At 36.5% G+C, this 21,786-nt stretch overlaps 1 protein-coding gene and 1 pseudogene across 9 annotated transcripts in view, besides 3 other annotated features; one reads left to right on the top strand and one right to left on the bottom strand.

Moving 5' to 3' along the window:
- Nucleotides 1-21,786, top strand: part of METTL15 (methyltransferase 15, mitochondrial 12S rRNA N4-cytidine) — a 424,088-nt gene that overhangs the window by 16,351 nt on the left and 385,951 nt on the right. For 2 of the 9 annotated variants that reach the window (XM_047426516.1, XM_047426515.1), the window contains exon 2: nt 772-933. The exons of the other annotated variants lie outside the window; for them this stretch is intronic. In XM_047426516.1, coding sequence (XP_047282472.1) covers nt 859-933 — 75 coding nt within the window. In that variant the 5' untranslated portion in view covers nt 772-858. The remainder of the gene's footprint in view (nt 1-771; nt 934-21,786) is intronic. 9 annotated transcript variants of the gene reach the window in all.
- Nucleotides 15,174-15,780: an enhancer, noted in NCBI's record as "NANOG hESC enhancer chr11:28161459-28162065 (GRCh37/hg19 assembly coordinates)". NCBI's record gives its function as "activates a minimal SCP1, AML or CMV promoter by ChIP-STARR-seq in naive and primed H9 embryonic stem cells {active_cell/tissue: H9 hESC(naive and primed)}" and the evidence as "EXISTENCE:reporter gene assay evidence [ECO:0000049][PMID:30033119]".
- Nucleotides 15,174-16,868: a biological region, named in NCBI's record as "MED14-independent group 3 enhancer GRCh37_chr11:28161954-28163153".
- Nucleotides 15,669-16,868: an enhancer, noted in NCBI's record as "MED14-independent group 3 enhancer chr11:28161954-28163153 (GRCh37/hg19 assembly coordinates)". NCBI's record gives its function as "activates an origin of replication core promoter dependent on BRD2, BRD4, P300/CBP and CDK7 cofactors, and independent of MED14, by STARR-seq in HCT116 cells {active_cell/tissue: HCT116}" and the evidence as "EXISTENCE:reporter gene assay evidence [ECO:0000049][PMID:35650434]".
- Nucleotides 19,991-20,507, bottom strand: ATP5MGP8 (ATP synthase membrane subunit g pseudogene 8; annotated as a pseudogene).

The following is a 21,786-nucleotide window of genomic DNA, read 5'->3' on the forward strand; positions in this document are numbered from 1 at the left end:
TAGTCTCTTGTCTATGGCTTTAATATTACTCTTAACTTTGTAGCAGAAATATGAAAGAATTAAAATTGACCTCAGTTTTATACCCCCTTATTTTAAATGACCTATATAATGGTTATATGAATACTTTAATTTTTCTACCGGTATAGAATATCATCGCCAAGACAGTTTCTTCTTTGAGCAATACATATGAAACCAACATTTTTTAGTAGAAAAACTTGATTTTTCTCCAATTTAAAATTACCGAAATAGTGAACTACTTTTATGAATGAAAATGTAAGTAACTTCTCTTGCTAGGGCCTGTTTTAGAAGTTAAATACAGACAGGTTTTTCAGAAAATTGAGATAACTGTGAGAGAGGAATGTTGTAGAATGTTTTCTTGTTTTTGTACTTATTTTTGTAATATCATGTTAGTAATAGAAACCATCCAGATTTTTCTAAAGTTATTAAGCTTTCCCCTGAGGAGTTTAAAGGCATGATTGATAGCATATAAAATAAATACTTTTATTTCAAGATTTCTTCAGAGTAGGTATTAAAATTTCTTTGAGCAATTTATATCAGGGATATATCAGTTTTGTTTAAGGTAAGTATGCCTTCTGAAAGCCAGGAGTAAGTTGTGTAGGGTCAAATTCTCCATTTCCTGTGAAATCTGTGTATAGATTGACACTATTCTGGTTTGATTGTGCTGATGATATTATATCTGAGTTCTATGCAGTTGGATAAACGAGTATCCATCCAAAACTCTGAAATTTTGTTTCATTTTTTTTATTTCAGTGTATTCTATTCTGAATTTTGGAACCAAGCTAGCTGATTTTACACGTTTGATTTTATGATTACATATGGAAAAAAATCAAAACCGCAATGTTACAGGTCTCTCACACCTTTCACTGTACTTCTGTAATAAAGGGAATTAGAATAATTTATTGGTTAAATAAGGTAACTATAAACCAATTTTTAACAAATTTGATTTTGAGTTACGATGATTGCGTATTCCAGGTACAACTTAAATTGCTGTAACTGTTTTGTTAAGTTCTTTTTTGGATAAAAAATCTTCTAAAATCTTATTTTTCTGAAATGTAAACTTACCTTATAGTATATGCATCTTAATTAAACTGTTCTTGATCGACTTAAGGTAGTAATTTTGAATATTTTTTGTTTCCGTATTCTACGCATCAGTGGAATTCTAAGTGACTTAATTCCTTATTTCTCCAAATCCACACATGGCTATGTATTTTTGGGTGCCTTTATTTCTTTTCAGCTAGTGCTTATATCTTAGTATGCTCACTCCAGCAATTGAATCTTCTTGACGAAATTTTCCAGTACATTTAATCTAAGCAAATTGGTGGGATTTTCTTGGTGAAAGTAGGTAGCACATTAAATCAGAAAACCTAGAGTACACATCCCACAGATATACACATGGCTGACTCTCTCACTCTGGTTGTTATTCAGATGTTACCTTTTCAGGGATGCCTTCCCTGGCCACCCTGTCTGAAATTTCAACTACCATCTTCAAATGTTTGGTATCCTCCTTCCTTGCTTGTTTGTTTGTTTTTTCCTTAGCACTTAACAGTGATATGCTGTATATACCATTCTCTTTTTCTTCTTAACTGTCTGCCCCTTCCTCCCCCAACTCCCTTCTCTACCGCCTTCCTCCATAGCACACTAGCTTGAAAGGTGGGATTTTTGTCTGACTTTTACCACTGTATCCTCAGTGCTAAGAGCATTTGATATGTAGAAGATACCCCATAAATATTTGTTGAAATAATTATTGAATGGAGGAATGAAAAGAAAGGTCCTACAGAAAGAGACATTGAGGAGATAGATGTGGCAATGATTGGGTGAAGAGAGGCAAGGATAGGGAGAAATTAAAAAATGGCAGTGAGGTGTTATATCTGAGTTTTAGTGTGAAAATTAAACCATTCTCTTATTTATTCAGAAGATGTCTATTAAGTTTCTACTGTATATCAGGTACAATGCACTTAGTACTGGATATGCAATATAGAACAAAATTAGACATGGTCTTAGCCCTTAAGGAGCTTACAATTTAGTGGTTGAAATGGGCATTTATCAAGTAATTATTCAAGTGAATATGAAATTTCCACTGCCATGAAAGAGTATATAGTGCTCTTAGATCTCCGAACAGGAGGATTTAAAGTGGTAAGATTTTCTTGAGTGGGAAGTAATCATAAGGACAAAGAATCTAGACAATTAAATAGGTTAAGAGGAGGGTAAAGAACATTTCAAAGAGGAAAGGGAACATGTACAAAAGTTCTGTGCTGGGAAGGAGCTTGGTAAGAATGAAAGATTGTAAGCAAGCCACTGAGTGAGTGTGCTGAAAATGCAAAGAGGGAGATGGTGCAAGATGAGGCTGGAGAGGCAGGTGGAGGTGAGAGATGATTAAGTCTGCTTTTTAAAAAGATAATTCTCTCTACACTGTGGAGGATGGATTGGTCCAGATTACTTATGAGGCTTTTGTCCAGACAAAAGATAATGAGTGGTAATAGTTGAGACATTGGAGAAGAATGGGCAGATTTGAGGGAGATTTAAGAGGTAAAAAGCATAGGACAAAGCTGACATTTATTAAATACTGTGTGAGTTCAGGCTGCTAGAACGACTAGGTTGCTTAAAAAAAAATGGACATTTATTTCTCACAATTCTGGAGAAGGGAAGTCTGAGATCAAGGTGCCCACAGATCCAGTATCTGTTGAGGACCTAGGACTTGAAGAAAAAGATTGTTTTCTGGCGCCATGAAGCTGGAGTGAAAGGTAAATTGTTTATGATACTTTCAATACTTGGGCTATTTTCTTAATATTTATTCTTAACTTTTTCCTTGCTATTGTTAATCATATTTAAGTTCCAAAACACCCACATGCTGATCCACTGTATACACATTATTTTATTTCATTTAGAAACTTGTATCTGTAAAGTGACTTTAATTTATTTGAAAGAAGCATTTTATTGCTATTTTATGTAGAATAAGCATTACCACATAGAACCAATTAATACTGTTATAACTATTAATCTATATAAAATTATATAAATTTTTCTGTGTAAAAATTTTATGTAAACTTTTATTTACATGAAAGTATACCAAAGAAATCACCCCGACAGTTAAAAGTTTGCCAGCTTAGTAACCATGACATTATTCATCTTTGGTACATTATTTGAAATTTGCTGTTTCTTTTCATGTGTTTATAGCTACATTGCCTTGGACTAATATTCAACCTATTAGTTGACTTACCACCATTCAGAGACTGGTAAATTAAGTGTCAGGCAACACCCACTTGAGTCTGAATGTGATTTCTTACTTGTATCTTTTCATAGCTATTTTATGAATTATAATGCCTAATAGAAAAGAAGGAAGGATTTTCTTGCATGTAAATTTCCATTGAATGCTCTGTGGGCATTTTCATATGGCAACCGTTTTAGCCAAGATAGAAACTTTGTTTCCCTATTTATGTATTAATGGTGTTTTATAGGTTGGGTAAAAAATAAATTAAGGATAGAAAAAAAATTAACCAGAAATAACAGTATAATCTCTAGATTAATGCATGTTGCTGTTAGGTACTATATACTACATTCATATTCTATAAGAATGTTTAAAATAATCATATAAATAATAATTTAGCTTTAATCAATATAATGCTAGAAATTGAAAATAGTTTGTATGAGAAAGACATTCGGGGAGTACAGTTTTGTAAATGTGTTGTTTGCTGAAAATCAACATTATGTATGTATGTTATATACATTTATTTTCAAGCTTCTTAAAAATTGGACATGTTGTAGTTTCTATAGTTTTTCCTCAAAATAATTTTAATGCTAGTGATAGAAACTTAAATTTTTTACAATGGACATTTTATATGAATCTTTCGCTGTGGTTTTATTTTGCAATGTTTTGCGTAAAAGTTGAAAAGTGAGCGGAAACTATGCAATCACTCTTTTTCCCTTTGTAGAATTCAGGGATATGGGATTTGCTGTAAAAGTGTGAGTAGGGAAACTAAATTCTATAAAATGAATTTTATGATCATTCAGATTTAGTACTTAAGACTTTATTATTTAATTAGTCTTAGGTGATTTGGGATATTCTGACCATCAACTAAATTTTTTAGTCTAATCTAAAGTGGTACTAATGGTGTTTTAGGAGAGTACAAATACATTAAATTCACTATACTGTATAAATTAGCCTTTGATGGTTTTCCTCTTTGTTAGGTTAATTTATTCTAATGACTCAGACTGGGGGATCCTTTTATTTTTTATTTTTTTAATTTCTAACTTTTTTGTTTACATGGTCCTTTTGTTGCTGGATTTCTCAACTTGTCCTCATAGGACATGATGGAGAAAGTCCTCATAGGACATGATGGAGAAAGAAACATGTTCTAATAACATATTCTCAAGGTTAGCTTACAAAGGTATTCCTCTGTCAAACACTTGAGGAATCTTTTAGATGCTATTCATTTACACAGCAACTCAGTAGACTAGGTCAACATGTCTATGAATAAGTGGTTATCTTGAATATTTGAAATTGTTTAGATTTCCCCCAATTTTCTTAACATTTTATATAGTGATTTTGTGACATTGCAGAAGAAAAACACAGTCATACTTTGACATTGGTGTTTGTACTTTTTCTTAAATATAAAACTTGGGAAAAAATCTTCAAATCATATAAAATTACTTTTTTTTTTTTTTTCTTTTGAGACGGAGTCTTGCTCTCTTGCCTAGGCTGGAGTGCAGTGGCACGATCTTGGCTCACTGCAACCTCCTCCTCCCAGGTTCAAGAGATTCTCCCTCCTTAGTCTCCTGAGTAGCTGGGACTACAGGTGTGCAGCTCTACGCCTGGCTGATTTTTATATTTTTAGTAGAGATGGGATTTCACCGTGTTGGCCAGGCTGATCTTGAACTCCTGACCTCAAGTGGTCTGTCTGTCTGTGCCTTCCAAAGTGCTGGGATTACAGGTGTGAGTCACTGCGCTCAGCCCCTTATAATTAGTTTTTAAATATGCTATAAAAGAACTTTAAAAAGTTGAATTCAATAAACATGTATTAATTTTTTTATGTATTTTGCATTGTGTTGGGGGATCTGGGGATTGCTAAAATAGTGAGTGAATAAGTGTGGAGGGGATAAACTATGCCCAGAAGATTTATCTTATAATTAAAGGCTTATTTTGTGGAATACCAGTATTAAGAAGACACTGAATACAATTTGATCACCTAAATCTATAATTGATGGAGAAAAAGCTAGGGTACACAATTCATGGGGAAAAGAGAAGAGGGCTTTCATTTAAAGAGCATACCAGGCTTGGCATGGTGGCTCACGCATATAATCCCAGCCCTTTGAGAGGCTGTAATTGGAGGATCGCTTGAGCTCAGGAGTTCGCGATTAGCCTGGGCAAGGTGGTGAGACCCCCATCTCTACAAAACAAAAAAAATAATGCTGTATATGGTGGTGTACACTTGCAGTCCCAGTTATTCGAGAGGCTGAGGTTGGAGGATCACACGAGCCCTGGAGGTCAAGGCTGCAGTAAGCCGTGATCACACCACTGCACTCCAGCCTGGGTGACAGAGTGAGACCTGGTCTCAAAAAACCAACAAAAACCAACACACCTTCTTGGCAGCCTTGCGTAGGGTGATATGTGTGAGGATGGATTTAAATATCAGGGTTTATAATCCAATAGGTAGGATAGTTTGTATGCACATAACCATAATAGTCATACTATTTGAAAAAATAAGTGTTATAAGAAAGGCATGCTGTTCAAATTAGAGAAGGGAAAACACAAGCAGATGTATACATGTGAGTACTGGATCTTTAAAGAACAGAATATTTCAAATTTCAGTTAGAATACGTTGAGCTGATGGAAAGGTCTAGCAACTGACTGAGAGAGATGAAGGTCACTGGATTTGAGGTGTACATATTGTCAAAGTATGAGACATTGTGTCAGTCTACATGCGCAGATGTTGCATTCATGGTTATTCTGTTTATAAGTACAAACACTTAAACTTGACCACTTAAATATGACATATGGCATTGCTAAATATGACTTGATTTTCTGAAGTAGAGAGCTATTCTTGGTTAAGTTTCTTTTGATTTATGCAATAGTTACATTTCTAGAAAATTCAGTGTATATTAATTAAATCCTTATAAAAAGTACTGTGTGATATGAAAAATGACATTTTGTTTTAGGCTTGGATAATTGTTGCTGCCCCCTCTCCTTCATGAATAGACACTGTAAGTCATGGAGACCTTGGATCAGTTTATTTTGTAGCATGTGCTGTGCATTTGTGCATTGCAGGATATCCACCATTCCTGTAGCTCACCCATTAAGTGCTAGTGGCATCCTCCCATTTTTTTTTTTTAAATTACAGTCTAAACACATTTTCAGAATGCCCCCATTGAGCATTTCTAGGTTAGAGGAAAGAAGGCACAGAGCAATATGTCGATTAGACCCAAGGAGAAAGCTTCTATTTTGCACAGTGACCAATACGATAGAGATGTGAAGCAGAGAATCACCTGGCAACAGAGTTTCAAGTACGTTCCTGAAATAAAATTGCCATGAGGCAAGGTGGTAAAGTTTTCTTACCATCTCAACCTCCTGTCCACATTTAGCTTCTTTCCTCGCACCATCTCTAGCCCAGGTTTACCTGGTAGCCTGGTTATGTTAACACCGGTGGCCCCAGTGAGAATTCTTGACTGGTTTTGGTAAAGTGTGTAATTTCAGCATACTTTCTAACTAAATTAGCATTTTTCTTCCTTTCTACTATACTTCCAAGCATTTTTTTTTTTTTTTTTTTTGCCATTTGAAGGCAGTCACAAAAGATGCCTGATATTTCTCAGGTAAATGTTTATTTCTCTTATTTTTTTCTTGCTGTTAGGTAAATGTGTTGCATAAAATGTAATCTTTGTATTTCTGTTTGATTGTGAACATATCCAAATGCACTAAAATGCATTGGAATCAGTGAAGATGATCATTGCAGTTTTATCTTTTGTTCAAATTGATAAAGTTTTAATAGAGCCACCTTTGGCCAACTTTAACAGTTTTTGTTGTCTTGGAAGAATCGTCTCATATGCAGCAGATTACTTCTAATGATCCTGATAAATCGGAAGTATTACTTTCAAAAGATTAATGTTATAAAGTCTAGCCTTGTTGAGCTATTTAGTTGTTGTACTTGTTCTAAATTTGGTGACCTTTGTAATGTGGAACAGTATTCTTCATTTTAAATAAAATTTAGAGTGATTAAAAAAATGATTATTTACCTGGGGCATTAAACCAAGTCTGATGAGGTTTTTAGCTTCATTTGTGATGTAAAACCCATAGTGAAGATTAGAAGTAGTTCCTGAAGTATGCATACCTTGTGAAATATATTTCTAGTTTCAATATCTTTCCTAGGGGAAATGCCCATGCTATGGAAATCACTATGATTAGCATTAATTGTTATGCTTCTTGGGTCTCCTTGCAAAGAAGCCAGACTTGTAAAAACGAACCTCTTTTTTTGCCCTGTAAAGGTCATAGCAACAGACATTGTCTTAAAATGGAATAGTATAATGGTCTCTTGACTGATTTAAATGGTAATATGTAATAATATACAATTATATTGTATGGGTGATATGGGTGGTATCTTTCATTAAGTTACATTTCTTTCATATTAAAATATATATAATTTTATGTGAGAAAAATTGAATATTTCATAAAATCCAATTTGTTCTTGTCCCTTAACCTTACCTTTAATATATTACTTATTCTGTGTTTTAAACTGGTTGAAAATAATTTCTTCTCTCTCTCTGTTTTTATCATAATCTTGAAAATGAATCAGTTAAATCAATTAATTAATTTCAGCTGCTTTTAAGTTTGTCTTGCGGAGGGTTTCTTCCATGAGATTTTCATAAACTATAACTGAGTTTATATTTACCCTACAGTGAATTTTTAAATTATCCTTTGAAAATTCACATTGGGGTAGCTTATGGTATTACTACATTTCAGGAGAATTATTTCATCATCTTTGATATATGATACAGTTGCTTGTGTTTTGTTTTCATTACCACAGATTCCTGAAAAGTTTGTGAACACTGAATTTCAAAATCTTCTATTTTCCCCACTGCATTATATTATAATCTTAGTATGTTTTATTTGAACTTAGAGTACTGAATTAATACTTACTTACAAAATTGGTGTTTGTATTTTTAACAAGAAGATACATTTTTTTGAGTTTTAATTTTTATCTCCTTAGAAGGCAGTCCAAAAACATATTAGAATTATGATGCATAAGGAATTTAATTACAGTTTCTAAGTCTTACAAAGTAAAAAGTATTAATTGGTGTTATTTGTTGAAATATGTCATAAAGAACAATATCCTAACTGGGGGTATGGCTTAAGAGCAATCTGATTTAAGAAAAAGACGAAAAGTAAGATCTTAGGGTATCGTAATTTTGTAAATTTTTGTTTCTTGGAATATTTAGAAAAATTGATTTTAAAATGTCTCTTGGAATAGCTGGGCTAGAAATGGTGGTTCAAGGGTGCAAGGAGATTGTAGAATCCTCTAAAGGGAGCGTTTTTTACTACAATGGCAGGGAATAGATGCCTTATAGATGGGAGCTATGACTCGTGTTAAAAACCTTCAAGACAATTTCAGGCTTACTGTGGTCACTTTAGGTCTTGGCATTTGATCAATTGAGGAAGATTTTGAAAAAAATATATTTCTCTTAACACACTATGGTAGCCAGTCTACAAGATGGGTTCCATTGATTATCACTGCCTAATAATCATGCTCAAATGTAGTTCCCTGCTGCATTGAATTAGGTTGACCAGTGTAATCCATAAGATACTGCAAAAATGATAGTGTGCAACTTCAAAGGGGAAGTCATAAAATAAATTTTGGCTTCTTCCATGCTGTCTTTTGGATTGCTTGCTCAAGGTGGGACAGCTACCATATCATTGTATGCTTAAGCAGCCCATGGAGAGGCCTATGTAGAGTGGAATTGAGGCTCCTACCAACAATCAGCACCCAGTGGTTGAGCAGTCTTGGGAATATATCCTCTAGTCTTAACCAAGCCCGCAACCTTGTGAAAGAGACCCCAAGTTAGAATCACCTGGTTAAGCTGCTACTGAATTCCTGATCCATAGAAACCATGAGATAATGAATATATATTTGGTTTAAGCCACTAAATTTTAGGGTAATTTTTTATGCAGGATACAGAAGTAATATACACAGAAATAAAGGCAAAGTTTCAACTATGTTGACTGCTCTAAAGGAAAGGTATGCATTACTATACGAGTGACCAACAGACTTCTTTTTTAATATGGAGGTTTGGGAAAAGCTTGTGAGCTCAGATTCAAAGAACAGGAAAGATATTCCTAACGGAACAACATGTGAACTGGCCCTGTTGTTGATTCAAGATTTTTTTGCTGCTTAGCTCAGCAAGGTCCATGTTCTTGTCTCATGACCAGGAAGAAATAGCCACGTGGACATTGAAGAGCGAGTAGGTGTAGTGGATTTTGTTAGGTGAAAAGGAAAGCTCTCAGCAAAAAGAGGGGTCCTGAAAGCAGGTTGCCGGTTGCCCACTTCACAGTTGAATAAAAGGGCTTTTTACATATATACCAATGGTCTGGGTTCCCTATTTGTATAAAGCGCAAATTCCTGGTAGCTCCACCCCATTCCCCCGTGCGTATGTGGGCTCTTAGTTGGCGGTGGACATATTTAGGCAAGGCCCCTGTGCAAGTTCCCTTATCTGCACAAAACATGGGTTGGAGGTTCTCCAGGGATCCTTCTGGTACTGTCTGTCAAAAGCAAGCTGGCTAACCCCTTTCATTCCCTCCTTCAGCAACTGCTGTTGCGAAAAAGTGGACGAAGACCTCTCTTAACTGCTTCCTGCTGACAGGAGGCGCTGTTTTGGAAAAGCGGCAGTTAGGACTCCTCCTGAGGTCAGTTTAAGGGTCCTGGGAAGAATGGCATGTCCATGCATGGTTTCATTTGCATCACCATTTGAAGTTTAATGGCCTCCAAGCAAAAAGGAACAATTCGGGTTATTAGAAGACATATATCAAAACGAAACAAGGGGTTAAGGACTGCTCAAAAATCCCAAGGCTGCCAATGTGCTCAGATAGCTGGTAGCTAGCTATAGTTACTATACCTGCTAAGATTTGGGTGCATGGGGCTTGGCTTTGGTAGCTCTCTTGATTTTTCCAAACAAAGAAACCTTGAGTTATGGGCTCTGTGTTTACTCTTATCATATGGTAGGATTTGCAGGATAATTTTCCAGGACTAGAATATTGATCCAGATTTTTATCACCCATCCCTTTTGTTTCTTCTGAGCTACAGCCAGTTATTGCTGGTTGGTTCACAGGAATAAGCAGGGTTAGTTTAAAATGTAGGCAAAAACTTAAAAACAACTGATGAGATTAGAATTTAATAACAGGTATATGATAAGTTTTGAAGCATAATTTTTCTTTCTTCAGTCCTCATTTTTGTGAAAAACAAATCATGATAGGACTGAGTTGTTGGCAAAATAAACTTTAGTCCTATACTTGACCAGATTATTGGTGCAGCAAGAATAATTATTTTTCACATAGGCTTCTAAGTTGGCTTTAATGGAACTCTGTTCCACAAGGAATCTCAGATAAGACCTTTAAAAGCTGAGCCCAGTCATGGGTTTGTACCCTCAAATACCTATGAGTTGGGTAAATTCCTCCCTTTTTGAGGTCACAAGAACCTGGGGCTCCTGGGCCTGTGAGAAAGTGATATTCTTTACTCACCACAGGTTAGTAACCCTTTATGGGGACTGTGTAGACAAGGTATGAGGCCAGATTTCCCAAGGGGCTTTTATTGGCTCTGCAAGCCATGCTTGATTCCTTAAAGGGAAGCAAACCCTTCCAGTCAAAACCTTGGTGAAACAACCAGTTTCTCCAATTGTGTCCTGTTGCAAAGGAAAATGAATTATTATTGCATAGATGCAAATAACTATATTGCCGTAAGTTAAAGAATACTCACAAATAGTTTCCAAATTCTGGAGATGCCAGGCGGGGAGAAATAAATATCCTCCAAATTTTGTTCACAGGAGTATACCTTACTCAATTATTAAAGGCTGTAATTAGCTCAAAATAAATTTCCTTGACTCTAAAAACAAAACAAGGATGAGCAACATTTTAAGCACAAAAGGTTAAAAAGATTACTTCAGTTTTCTGTTAGTTCAGTCCATTCTGTTAACTCTTGTTCTACTTGATATTCATGAACCTTTCAGCTCTTCATGAGTCCTGTATGTTTCTCTCTATTCCAGTGTCCCAATCTCCAAAGATATCAGAAACCTGCCTTTAAGAGCACCTGTCAAAGTACTATATCTGATTATAAGCCATCTTTTGAAAAGGATCAAAGCTAGACAACAATTGTCTGTGAATAGCAAAATGTCCAGGGTAGTTACCTCAAAAACACTATGGACAAAGAAATTTGTTTATTTCTGTAGCAATATGGTTTGGCTGTGTCCCCACCCAAATTTTACCTTGAATTGTAATAATCCCCCTTGTGTCGAGGGTGGGCCAGGTGGAGATAATTGAATCATGGGGGCAATTTTCCCTATACTGTTCTCATAGTAGTAAGTCTCACGAGATCTGATGGTTTTATAAATGGGAGTTCTGCTGCACAAGCTCTCTTGCTTGCTGCCATGTAAGATGTGCCTTTGCTTCTCCTTTGCCTTCTGCCATGATTGTGTGGGCTCCCCATCCGTGTGGAACTGTGAGTCCATTAAACCTCTTTCCTTTATAAATTACCCGGTCTTGGGTATATCTTTATTAGCAGAATGAGAACAGACTAATACATGTGGTTTACAATAACATAATAACCTTAATTATGATTGATAGCATATACTCAGACATTAGAATGGTAGACATCCTATATGATTTTAAAACACATATTAATATTATTCATTAAAATATAACCTATGGAAGATTAAACATCACTTTGGCAATCCTCTGTAACTAAACATGTCAAATAATCCTGTTTACCTCTCTCTTGGATGCTCTAGGGGTCCTCTAGCATCCAAAAGCTAGGGGTCAGGAAAGACAATTTTTGAAGCTGAAGTTTGATTTTGGGAAATATGTTAAATATATATGTTAGAGGTTCAAAAGCATGTGATATTATGGAATAGAATTCCAGATTACCGTAAGTTCTTTTGCCAAAATGATGACTTAAAAAAAAAAAAGGTAAAACCTTTCATTATCTTTTACTGTTACATGAAAATCCTGTTTAAGAGAGAAAAAGCCAGATTTCACCCTTACGTTAGTCTGCTATTAATGTCAACCCCAATTTTTTGTTTTAGTGGAACTTTATAGATAATTTTTATCCAATCTTAGCCAGTTTGACCATGAGGTGAGATTTTGGTAAACCTTTTATCACACTTTACAAATTTCTGTTAAGTAGCAGATCAGTGTGTTAATAAAACCTTGTTGTACTTCTATTTCAATGCGCAATTTATGGAAAGACCGTATAATACCTTTTTGAAGTTAATCAATATGTTCTCATATAGAATTTCTTTTGGAAGATTAATTTTTATAAACCTTCCACTCTTTGTTTAAACCTTCAGCTTTATCTTATAAACAATCCTTTAACCCTAGTCTGAAATTTACACTCCCATGCCTTCTGATAATCTTTTACTAAAAACACATTTTACTTTCTTTATGCACCTTGCGGGTGAATCTGTTGTCAATAATCTCAATTATATGTTATAACAGTAACTGTTAGCAATTTTTAATTTTAGTGTAAAGGCTGGCAAGTTGTTTTAATTATGTGCTAGGTGCAGATAAAGTCTGACTCTTTCCAACATAGTTAAGGGCGTGGTTAATTCCATATGTCCTCAAGCCTTATCAAATTGTAAAGCAGGCAAGTCAAACAGTTCTCAAAAGCCAAAGAAGCAGTTTGTAACCTTCGAACATGTAGCAAACCTAGTATCTGACCAGCATAATTCAGATCACATATTTACATTTTGAAGACATTTGTATTTTACCATTTGTCTTCAAAAATATTTCTATTTCTCAAAGATTAAAGTCACTTGAACTAACAGGCATTACAGCTTTTATTTTTTTTTTTTCAAAAAATATTGGATCTAAGCACTTATTTTTCTTTAGGCCAATCAATTAGAGCTATTTTTTATAAAACCATCACACACATAACACATGTATGATTATACAGACACAGACAGAAGAAGATCCAGTAATTGTAAGATTCTTCATTTTCTAATCTCCTAGTCAGATCATTGGCCTCAGGGTGGTACCCTTCAAGAGCAGGGCTAGGAAAGCATGCAGTTTCTAGGGACCAGTAAACAGGTATAGCTGGAAGACAAAAACAGATTTTGAGAGGAATCTATCCAATTTTAATTGCTGGAGTTCCATGTGGAAAACAAGGGATTTTTTTTTTTTCCAAAATGGGGTTTGTGGCACCTTCTCTGTTTCTCGCCAGGTGTCCTAGGCTATCAGAAGTTATCTTAGGGCCTCTCATGTGTGCATTAAGAGTAGCAAAATGAAATGGAGAAAAATAATTCATTTGACTGAGAGAAAGTCCTTTTTCCAGAAAAACAAGATCCATGAAGTGTAAAACATAAAGGCCTTTTAAATATACCTCTAGCTTGGATATCCACTTTAAATTAAGCTGAGTGCTTTTTAAGAAAATCCTTTTAAATCCCTCATTACCCTACTTTAGCCATGCCAAGTGGCCAATATTTCTAACTTTTGAACATTACCAAAAGTAACCTCACAGGTGAAACCAACAAGCCTCAATCAAGGTTATGGCTTAACTGTGAGTGTACAAGGTATTTTCAAAGAAGTGGTAAGCACTTCCTACAAAATCTAGAATCTTTAAAGGTGGCTCAGAGAAAGAAAGATTTAAGAAAGAAAGCTAGAATTTGTTCACAGACGGGAAGAGAATCAGCAAATTCTAAAAGTCACACAGATACTAACCGGAAAGTACTCATTCCCTATGCCAAAATTGAACCCGGGCCACCATTTTAAAATGGCAGAGGCCAAAAGAAGGTACTGCCACGTGGTTACAAGGTCAAGCTCCCAAGGACGTAAAACAAAATGGAAACCTGCAGCAATGTTTGTTACTGCCCAGTTTGCTGGTTGGCTTGAACAACAGGCTTATGGGGTCCTAGGCTTGCATTCTATCCTAAGGTATTCCTCCTTATCATGGAACCATACAGGAAGACACAAAAAGCACACCAGATTGGCTACAGCCTAAGACTAGCCTCACAAATCCTTTTTTCCATTAATCCAGACTTCACAGAGGACACAAACAGTAATTTTATCATTTATTCAACCGGTCTGCACAGGGAGAGGGAGGCCCGAAGTCCAGCTGTTAAGAACTTTTACTCTTTTACCAGCATGTCAGACTTCTGGGTTTCCTTCCCCTGAGCTCACTTTTAAGCCAAGCAGTTTAAGGTTTGGGGAAACTAACTTTTCCTACTTTGGGGGATATATCTGAGGGGAGTGTCCTGTGGTATGGGGACACAATTACCCATCTGTGAAGAGAGGACAGAGTAAGGATTTTTTTTTCCCTCAAAGGAATCCCAGTGATTCAGGAGGCATTTGAGAGAAATACAGACTGAAGATGATTGGTTACTCAACTAGAAAGAGGGGAACAAGTCATCCCTAGTTCCTTTTTTCTCCCAGGGAATAACCGGGTTATGTGAGGGAGAGAGAGAAGAGCTGTCCTCACATCCCTGAGTCCCTGTAACCTTGGGATGGTGCAGACCATGGGTGCCAATGTGGCTTTTCACCCTTGTTAACAGGGGGCCTAGGAGGTGGGAATTATCCGCATTTACCCACATGCTGCCTTTCCTCTGCTGTCAGTAACCTTTGAGTTCCCTAGACCTTGTCTGTGCCATGGATGCTAGCATGACCTCTATCCATGAAATGGGAGGGGTCCTAACTGGCAGGAATTAGTCATGCTAAGGTAAATCTGTGGTGCTGAGTCCTCCTCAAACAAGGGAGAGTAAAGGGTGTCTTGTGAGTTGGGGTCCTGGCTTAATAAGATGTTTTCCAAAAGGAAAAAAAAAAAACAAAACTCTTGCATAGAAAAGCTCCCTGTTTTCACAGGGCCATGTTAGAAAAGAAAAGAAAAAAACAGCTTAAATGCAGGATGGAGAAAATGCCTGAGGGAAAATCCTCTAGCTCTATGCAAATGGGTTCCTCCAACAGGGAGAGAAACTCTTAATCATTGTTCCCTCCTTTTGCCTAGGCCAGGGGTGGAAAGACTCTGTGGAGACCCATGGCGGGAGTTGGTGGCTGCAGCTCATTCCTGCCCCATGTGGCTGTTGGATGGAGCATGTGCATGTGCAGACATGTCCATACACCCTAGCTGGGAGGGAAGCAGGGAGGATGGGTGCCTCCGCTTGCCTTTCTGTTCCGAGCGTGTGCCTGTGGCCCTTGGGGTGGGGGTGTGAGATGTGCCTCTAAGAACAGATGGAAATCGCATTGTTCTGAATGGCATTTCTGATGGCTGGGCTAAATGCTCACTCTACCTAGTAGTATCTGCAGTTTGCAGCAACATCTTTAACATTATAAAAGAAGAGCTAAGTGCCAGGATAATCCTGGAACAAAAGAAGGAAAATACTGTAGAAAAGACTGGTTTGGAATAAGGCTGACATTCCCAACCCTTGAGAGTGATAGGGGTTTTTGGGGGTACTCTCCAGCATCCTGTCCTCTGTAGCTGTGCCATTCATTCTTATCTGGCTCACCAGAGGTTTGGTGCTGCATCTGCCTTCAGAAAAAGTCTGAGGAGGAGAAGACTCAGAAATGAAAGCAAAAGGTTTCAGATCTGCAGTTTACTCACCTGCCAGGTATTCTGGACAAGCCCCCAAAATGATGAAGGGTTTTTTGCTCCTTAGCTCAGCTAGGTCTAGGTTCTTGTCTCATGACCAGGAAGAAATAGCCATGTGGACATCAAAGAGTGAGTGGAGTAGAATTTATTAGGTGAAAAGGAAAGCTCTCAGCAAAAAGAGGGGTCCTGAAAGCAGGCTGCTGGTTGCCCCCTTCACAGTTGAATACAAGGGCATTTTACATACATGCTGATGGGGCTGTGTTCCCTACTTGTATAAGGTGTGAATTCCTTGTCGATTCACCCCATTTCCCCTGTGGGCGTGTGGGCACTTAGTCCGCTGCGGGCATGTTTAGGCAAAGCTCCTGTTCAAGTTCCCTTATCTGGACCAAACAAAGGTGGGAGGTTCTCCAGGGATCCTTGCCTTACTGTATGCCTGAAGCTGGCTAACTCCTTTCATTATTATAGCCAAATAGGTTCTTCTTGCCCGATGCCCAGAAAGTTAATATGCTGAGAACAGCAGTAGTTGCAGCAGAGATAGTGTTTAGTCATAGCACTTTAATTGGGAGGAGGATGGGAGATATTTCTCAAATCTGCCTCTCTAAGAGTTTGGAGGCTAGGGTTTTTAGCGGTAATTTGGTGGGCAGAGCACTAGGGAATAGGTATTGCTGATTGACTGGGCATGAAATCATGGTATTGTCCAAACTGTCTTCATGTGCTGAGTCAGTATCTGGGTGCAGGTGTTACAGGACTGGTTGAGTCAGTTCCTTGATATGAATCACGGTCCTGTTGGTATCAGGTGGTATGGCCGAATGCACGAGTCTGAAAAATATCTGAAAGATCAATCTTAGTTTTTGATAATAGTGCTGTTATCTAAAGGAGCAACTGGGGAAGACTTTGACTTTGGGAGACAGAGACAAAATCAGAGGCAGGAGGATTGCTTAAGCCCAGAAGTTGGAGACCAGCCTTGGCAACATAGTGAAACCCCATCTCTACAAAAAAATTAAAAAAAAAAATTATTCTGGCGTGGTGGCATACACCTGTAGTCTCAGCTACTTGGGAGGCTGAGTTGGGAGGATCGCTTGATCTGGGATGTCAAGGCTGCAGTGAACTGAGATCCCACCACTGCACTCCAGCCTGGTTAACACACTGAAACCCTGTATCAAAACAAAGCAAAACAAAATAAAATAAGATAAAATAAAATAAAATCTTGTGACTCCTGAGTAGTAAGCAAGCTAGGGAACAATGGCTGGTTATTGCTTAATGATGCTTACAGCTTAACAGAATTTAGGTCCTTACCATAATTCTAACCTTGTGGCCTTTCATTATTTTCACAAAGGCAGTTTCCATCCTGAACAAAGAGGAGGTTAGTTTTAAGCAGGGACTATTATCATCCTTGCTTCAAACTGTAAACTAAATTCCTCCTATGGTTAGCTTGGCCTACACGGAGGAATGAACGTACAGACAACTTATGAGGTTAGAAGTGAGATGAAGTCAGCTATGTTAGATTTCTCTCAGTCGTATTATTTGCAAAGGCAGTTTTACTGTTATGGGAAAAAGCAGGACACTTTTGAGAAACCAAATGTCAAAAAACAAAATGAAAACAAATTTAGTTTAAAGATGTTAATTGACTTTGTTTATGATTCTAGAATTGTACAACACTTCATTCCATAAAATAGAATGAGTGTTACAGTGAGTGGACTAGAGGAGATTGGTTTTATAGATAGAAAAGGGCCAAAGAAAAGAGAAACAAAGAACAAGAAGTGGATTGGTCACTTCAAAGTTACTTTTCTAGTAAGGCAAGAACAGGGAAACAGCACAATAAAAAAATAACTATTAATATCAGGTTACTTAAGTTTACTTATTTTTGGGTAAGTGTTAAAGGAAGAAGGAACTTGATTGTCTTGCTGCCTGGCCTATTTTGGAAATTTGGCTATTATTTTTCTCTCCTGATTTATTGGAAAGTCAGATAACTTTTTGATTTGGTGATAGGGAACTTTAATGCTTTGATTTTGATTTTTAGTCTAGTGTGTTGGGGCCTAGTGCAGGAGCTTAGCCCAAAACAGTAGATTTCTATAATTTTTATTTAACGTGAAAGCCCATTGTGGCTAAGTGTAGACAGCAAGGATGTATGGAAAAAGATGAAGTTAAGGAGAACAGAAAATGCTAGGCCTTAGACCATGTTAAGAATATTTGGTCTTTAAAAGCTGTGGGAATTCATTGAAAATTCATTAAATTCATTTTGAGCAGAGGATGTGGGCTAACTAGATTAGATAGATATTTTGTAAAGAACATTCAGATTGCCTAGTGGAAAATAGATTAGAAGTGGTAGGCTGGGAGTGGGTTGTGCAACAGTAGATGAAAGGAGACCAGTTAGAAAGCAATTGTATTTATTGAAAGAGATGGTGGTAGTTTAGATAGAGTGGTAACAGTTTAAATGGAGAGAGGTGGGCAGATAGGAGGGGTTTTGAATATAAAATAAACAGAATCTGGTTAAGAGCTAGATATGGTAAGTGAAGAGAGGGAACTGTAAAGGTAGGTGTGTGGCCTTGTCGTAGGATGAACAAGGACCCTATTTTTTTTTTCCTTAATAGAAGATCACATTTTTTTGGACATGTTTTTAGATACTTTTCAGACAGCCAGAATAGGGTTTCAAGAGTCTGTTTTGGAGCTCAGAGGTAATGTCTGAGCATGAGACAAAGATTTACCAGATTTAATTCTTATTAAGTCATAACCCATGTGATACAGTCCTTGAGGAGTCTTATAGTCAAAAGAACACAGTACATTAAAACAACAATTATTTAAAAACGAAGCAAGTTCTTTATGCATTTCTCAAAACCATGAAGGGACTCTTAATTCCCAGCAGTACTCTCTAGTATTGCTCTTGTTCCCTTTCTCATCTTTTGTTTTCATCAAATGTAGCTGGTGTTCCATTCTTTTTTCAAAAACTACTGAAGAAGCTACCCCTCTACTCTCATCCAGGCTAGTTTTATTCTAATTCATCCTTCTTCTTTTGTACTTTGCTCTGTACTATTTACGTTGATGTAACGGTTCCTATTTTGACAACATAGGACCTTCCTTGCAGTGGATGATAGGGAAAGAAGCTGGTAGCATAAAGCCAGATGTTCCTTTGATGCCTTAGGAAGGGGAAAGTCAGAGAACAGTTATGGGAACAAAGACGCATTAATGATTTTTGTCATGTAACTGAATGATCAGCATGTAAGTAAAAACTAAAACCATGAGTCTAGATGAATTTTGCCTTGAGAAAAGATATCTTGATCGTTGAGTAGTTCCATCATTTAATGACTCGGTTTAGGAAGATGAGCATAGAGGAGACTGATTAGGATCTCTTTTGACATCTGACTGGAACTTCTGAGCTAACTCTTGCTTTAGGCTGCAGCCTAGGCATTTGTTTCTTTGAAAAGCCTTTTTTGACATTTCATTTCCAGGTTAGGTTCTGCTCCAGCAGGCACTGATTGCCTATTATGGTCCTTATCATTGCTATAATTATTTATTTAATTGCATGTGGTCCCCAATAGACTCTAACCTCTGGGAGGATGAGAGACAAGTTCATCATTTTAACCCCAGTAAGTGTAATCTTTTATGTAGTGGATTGCAATAAGCATTTGTTTAATTAATTCAGGCAGGTATTCTCGTTTGGCTCATTAGGTTTCATATGTGTATGTCAATATTTTCTACTTAGCTTACTGCCAAAATATATAGATCTGTTCTTTAGAAAACAACATAAAATAGCTGTACTCCAGGTTCTTATATCAGATTATGACTTTGACCTCTCTGTCACCTAATACCTATAAAAAGTTTGGGGGAAATAAAATTTATGAAGGACTGCAGTGTACTTGGACCATATAATATTCGCAGTCTTAGAATTACTCATACTCATGTTTCACTGTTATTCCATAGCTTATATAGAGAAATATTAAAAGTAATGCAACTTTGAAACTCATTATTGTGTTTACTCCAGAGATGGAGGAGGAAGTGGTAATTTACTGTCTTATCAGTTTATGAGGACTAATAGGATTTTTTTTTCAAAGTGCAGTAGCAGGAAGGCTTATTTTGAATGACCAGGGTTTAGATATATATATGTGCGTGTGTGTAATTTTTGGTGGATATAGTGAATAATGCAACCATTTATGTTTCTCTCTTGTAGTGGTTTTTAGGAAACTCATTGGTAAATTTTGTGGTCTGCTTATATTAAAGGATGTAAACATTTTATGTCCTTTCTTTTGAGTAACAGTCATACCACTGATTATACTTTTTATTGACACACTTTATTCAGATAGCAGTCTGATCACACATGATCCAAGAACACTGAAATAGTAAGTCAAATATAATCAGATGTTAAAGACTTGTCATACATTATAGGCAATGGTGCAATGCTTACTTATGATTGCTCCAATATAAAACCACATTTACACCTCAGTGGCCACTGAACCATTCAGCACAGCTTCCTTAACTGTCAGCTGTTAGAAGCTAGCAGTGTAAGCACTGTTGACTATTTTTTTCAGGCTCTGAATAGCTGTCAGGATCTCAGTAGGAGTTGGAGGAGTTAGCTCAACTTTGGCTTAATATCTAAATGTGGCCAATCTAGGCTTCAAATACGTCACAGCAGTGTTCACCAGCGCTGGAGCCTCCTCCTCCAGGTTCCAGACAAATCAGACCATGGTTTTAGGATGAAAAATCCATGGCCCCAAATGGCTAGCTAATTATACTTTTAAAATTCCTCCTATCTTTATTGCTACCTTCATCTCTTTCATATTTCCATTTCTTTACTGTTATACTTTCTGTACTAATTTACCTTTGTAAGTCATCTCAGAATTTTTTAAATTTAATTTTTTTAAAATTTTTCATATGGCATGAAAAAATTACTTGTAGACATCTATAACATAATGGATCTCTTATTGGTAATTTGTTTGGGAACTGACTTGGTACTAACTTTGATTTCTCTCACTGGATTCCTAGACTCTCCAGGATGTTAGAACTGGCTTTGGCCTGTGGAACACCTCGTCTTGTGCATTCTATTTCCTGAATAAAGGGTCTTCTTTGTTTTCCCTGCAACGAGTGGTCTTTTGCTCCTCATTTCTGTGGTCCTTTACCCATTCTCCCAACCCAATGGCATTTCAAAACTATTTAAAATTTAAAAAAATTATTAATATAATTGCTTACATTATTACTCTGTGATTTAATAAACTGAGTTAGATAAACTGTATAATAAAAGTTATTGTGTTCTTTTTCATATTAATGTTTTGTAATTTTTTTGAAGAATCATTTAAAGCTTTAGATTTATTCTAGAAAAGTCTGTAATTGAATTATACCATGATAAGCTAAATCTGAAAATGTAAGCAAGTTTCTATGGGGTAGATGTATGATGATTTTAGGCTTTTCTTCGCATCTGAATTTTGTTTCCACTGCTATTTTAATGAGTTAGGAAATATGAGATATTTAAATATGGCTTGGTGAAGTTCATTGAACACTTTAATGTTGGTTATATTATTTATATCCTCTATATAGTTTAAAAAACAGCTAGCATATTTTATAGATATATTTGCAAGACTGATTTTAAAATAATATATTTTCATTGTTTTGTTAACAAATCAAACTTTTCAAGCTATTTCTGACTGTTAAAACTTTCTGGAAAGTTGTTCCATATCCTTCCGGTCATCTAAATTTATCACAAGGTTTTAACTAAGAAGGTTGGTGAACCCTCTTTCCTTTTGATCTTGCATCCTGGCGAGTGCTTGGATATTTCTTGTGTAAGAAAAGTTTTGGTAGATGAGTCAGTGTACTGAGTCATAGGCAGCATGAAGCCTCTAGTGTTCTATACTAACTAATTGGAAACAGTTTCAAGATTAATTAAGGCACAGTTGTCAGCTCAGTGTTACTGATTGACATCCTACCAAAGTATTTTGTCTTTTGGCAACTTGCTTAATTGTTCTTTGGTATTTAGATTTTTGTTCTGCTTCATAGATTTTTAAAAATCTGT

The sequence above is a fragment of the Homo sapiens genome, chromosome 11 (assembly GCF_000001405.40).
Source record: "Homo sapiens chromosome 11, GRCh38.p14 Primary Assembly".
Classification (NCBI taxonomy): domain Eukaryota; kingdom Metazoa; phylum Chordata; class Mammalia; order Primates; family Hominidae; genus Homo; species Homo sapiens.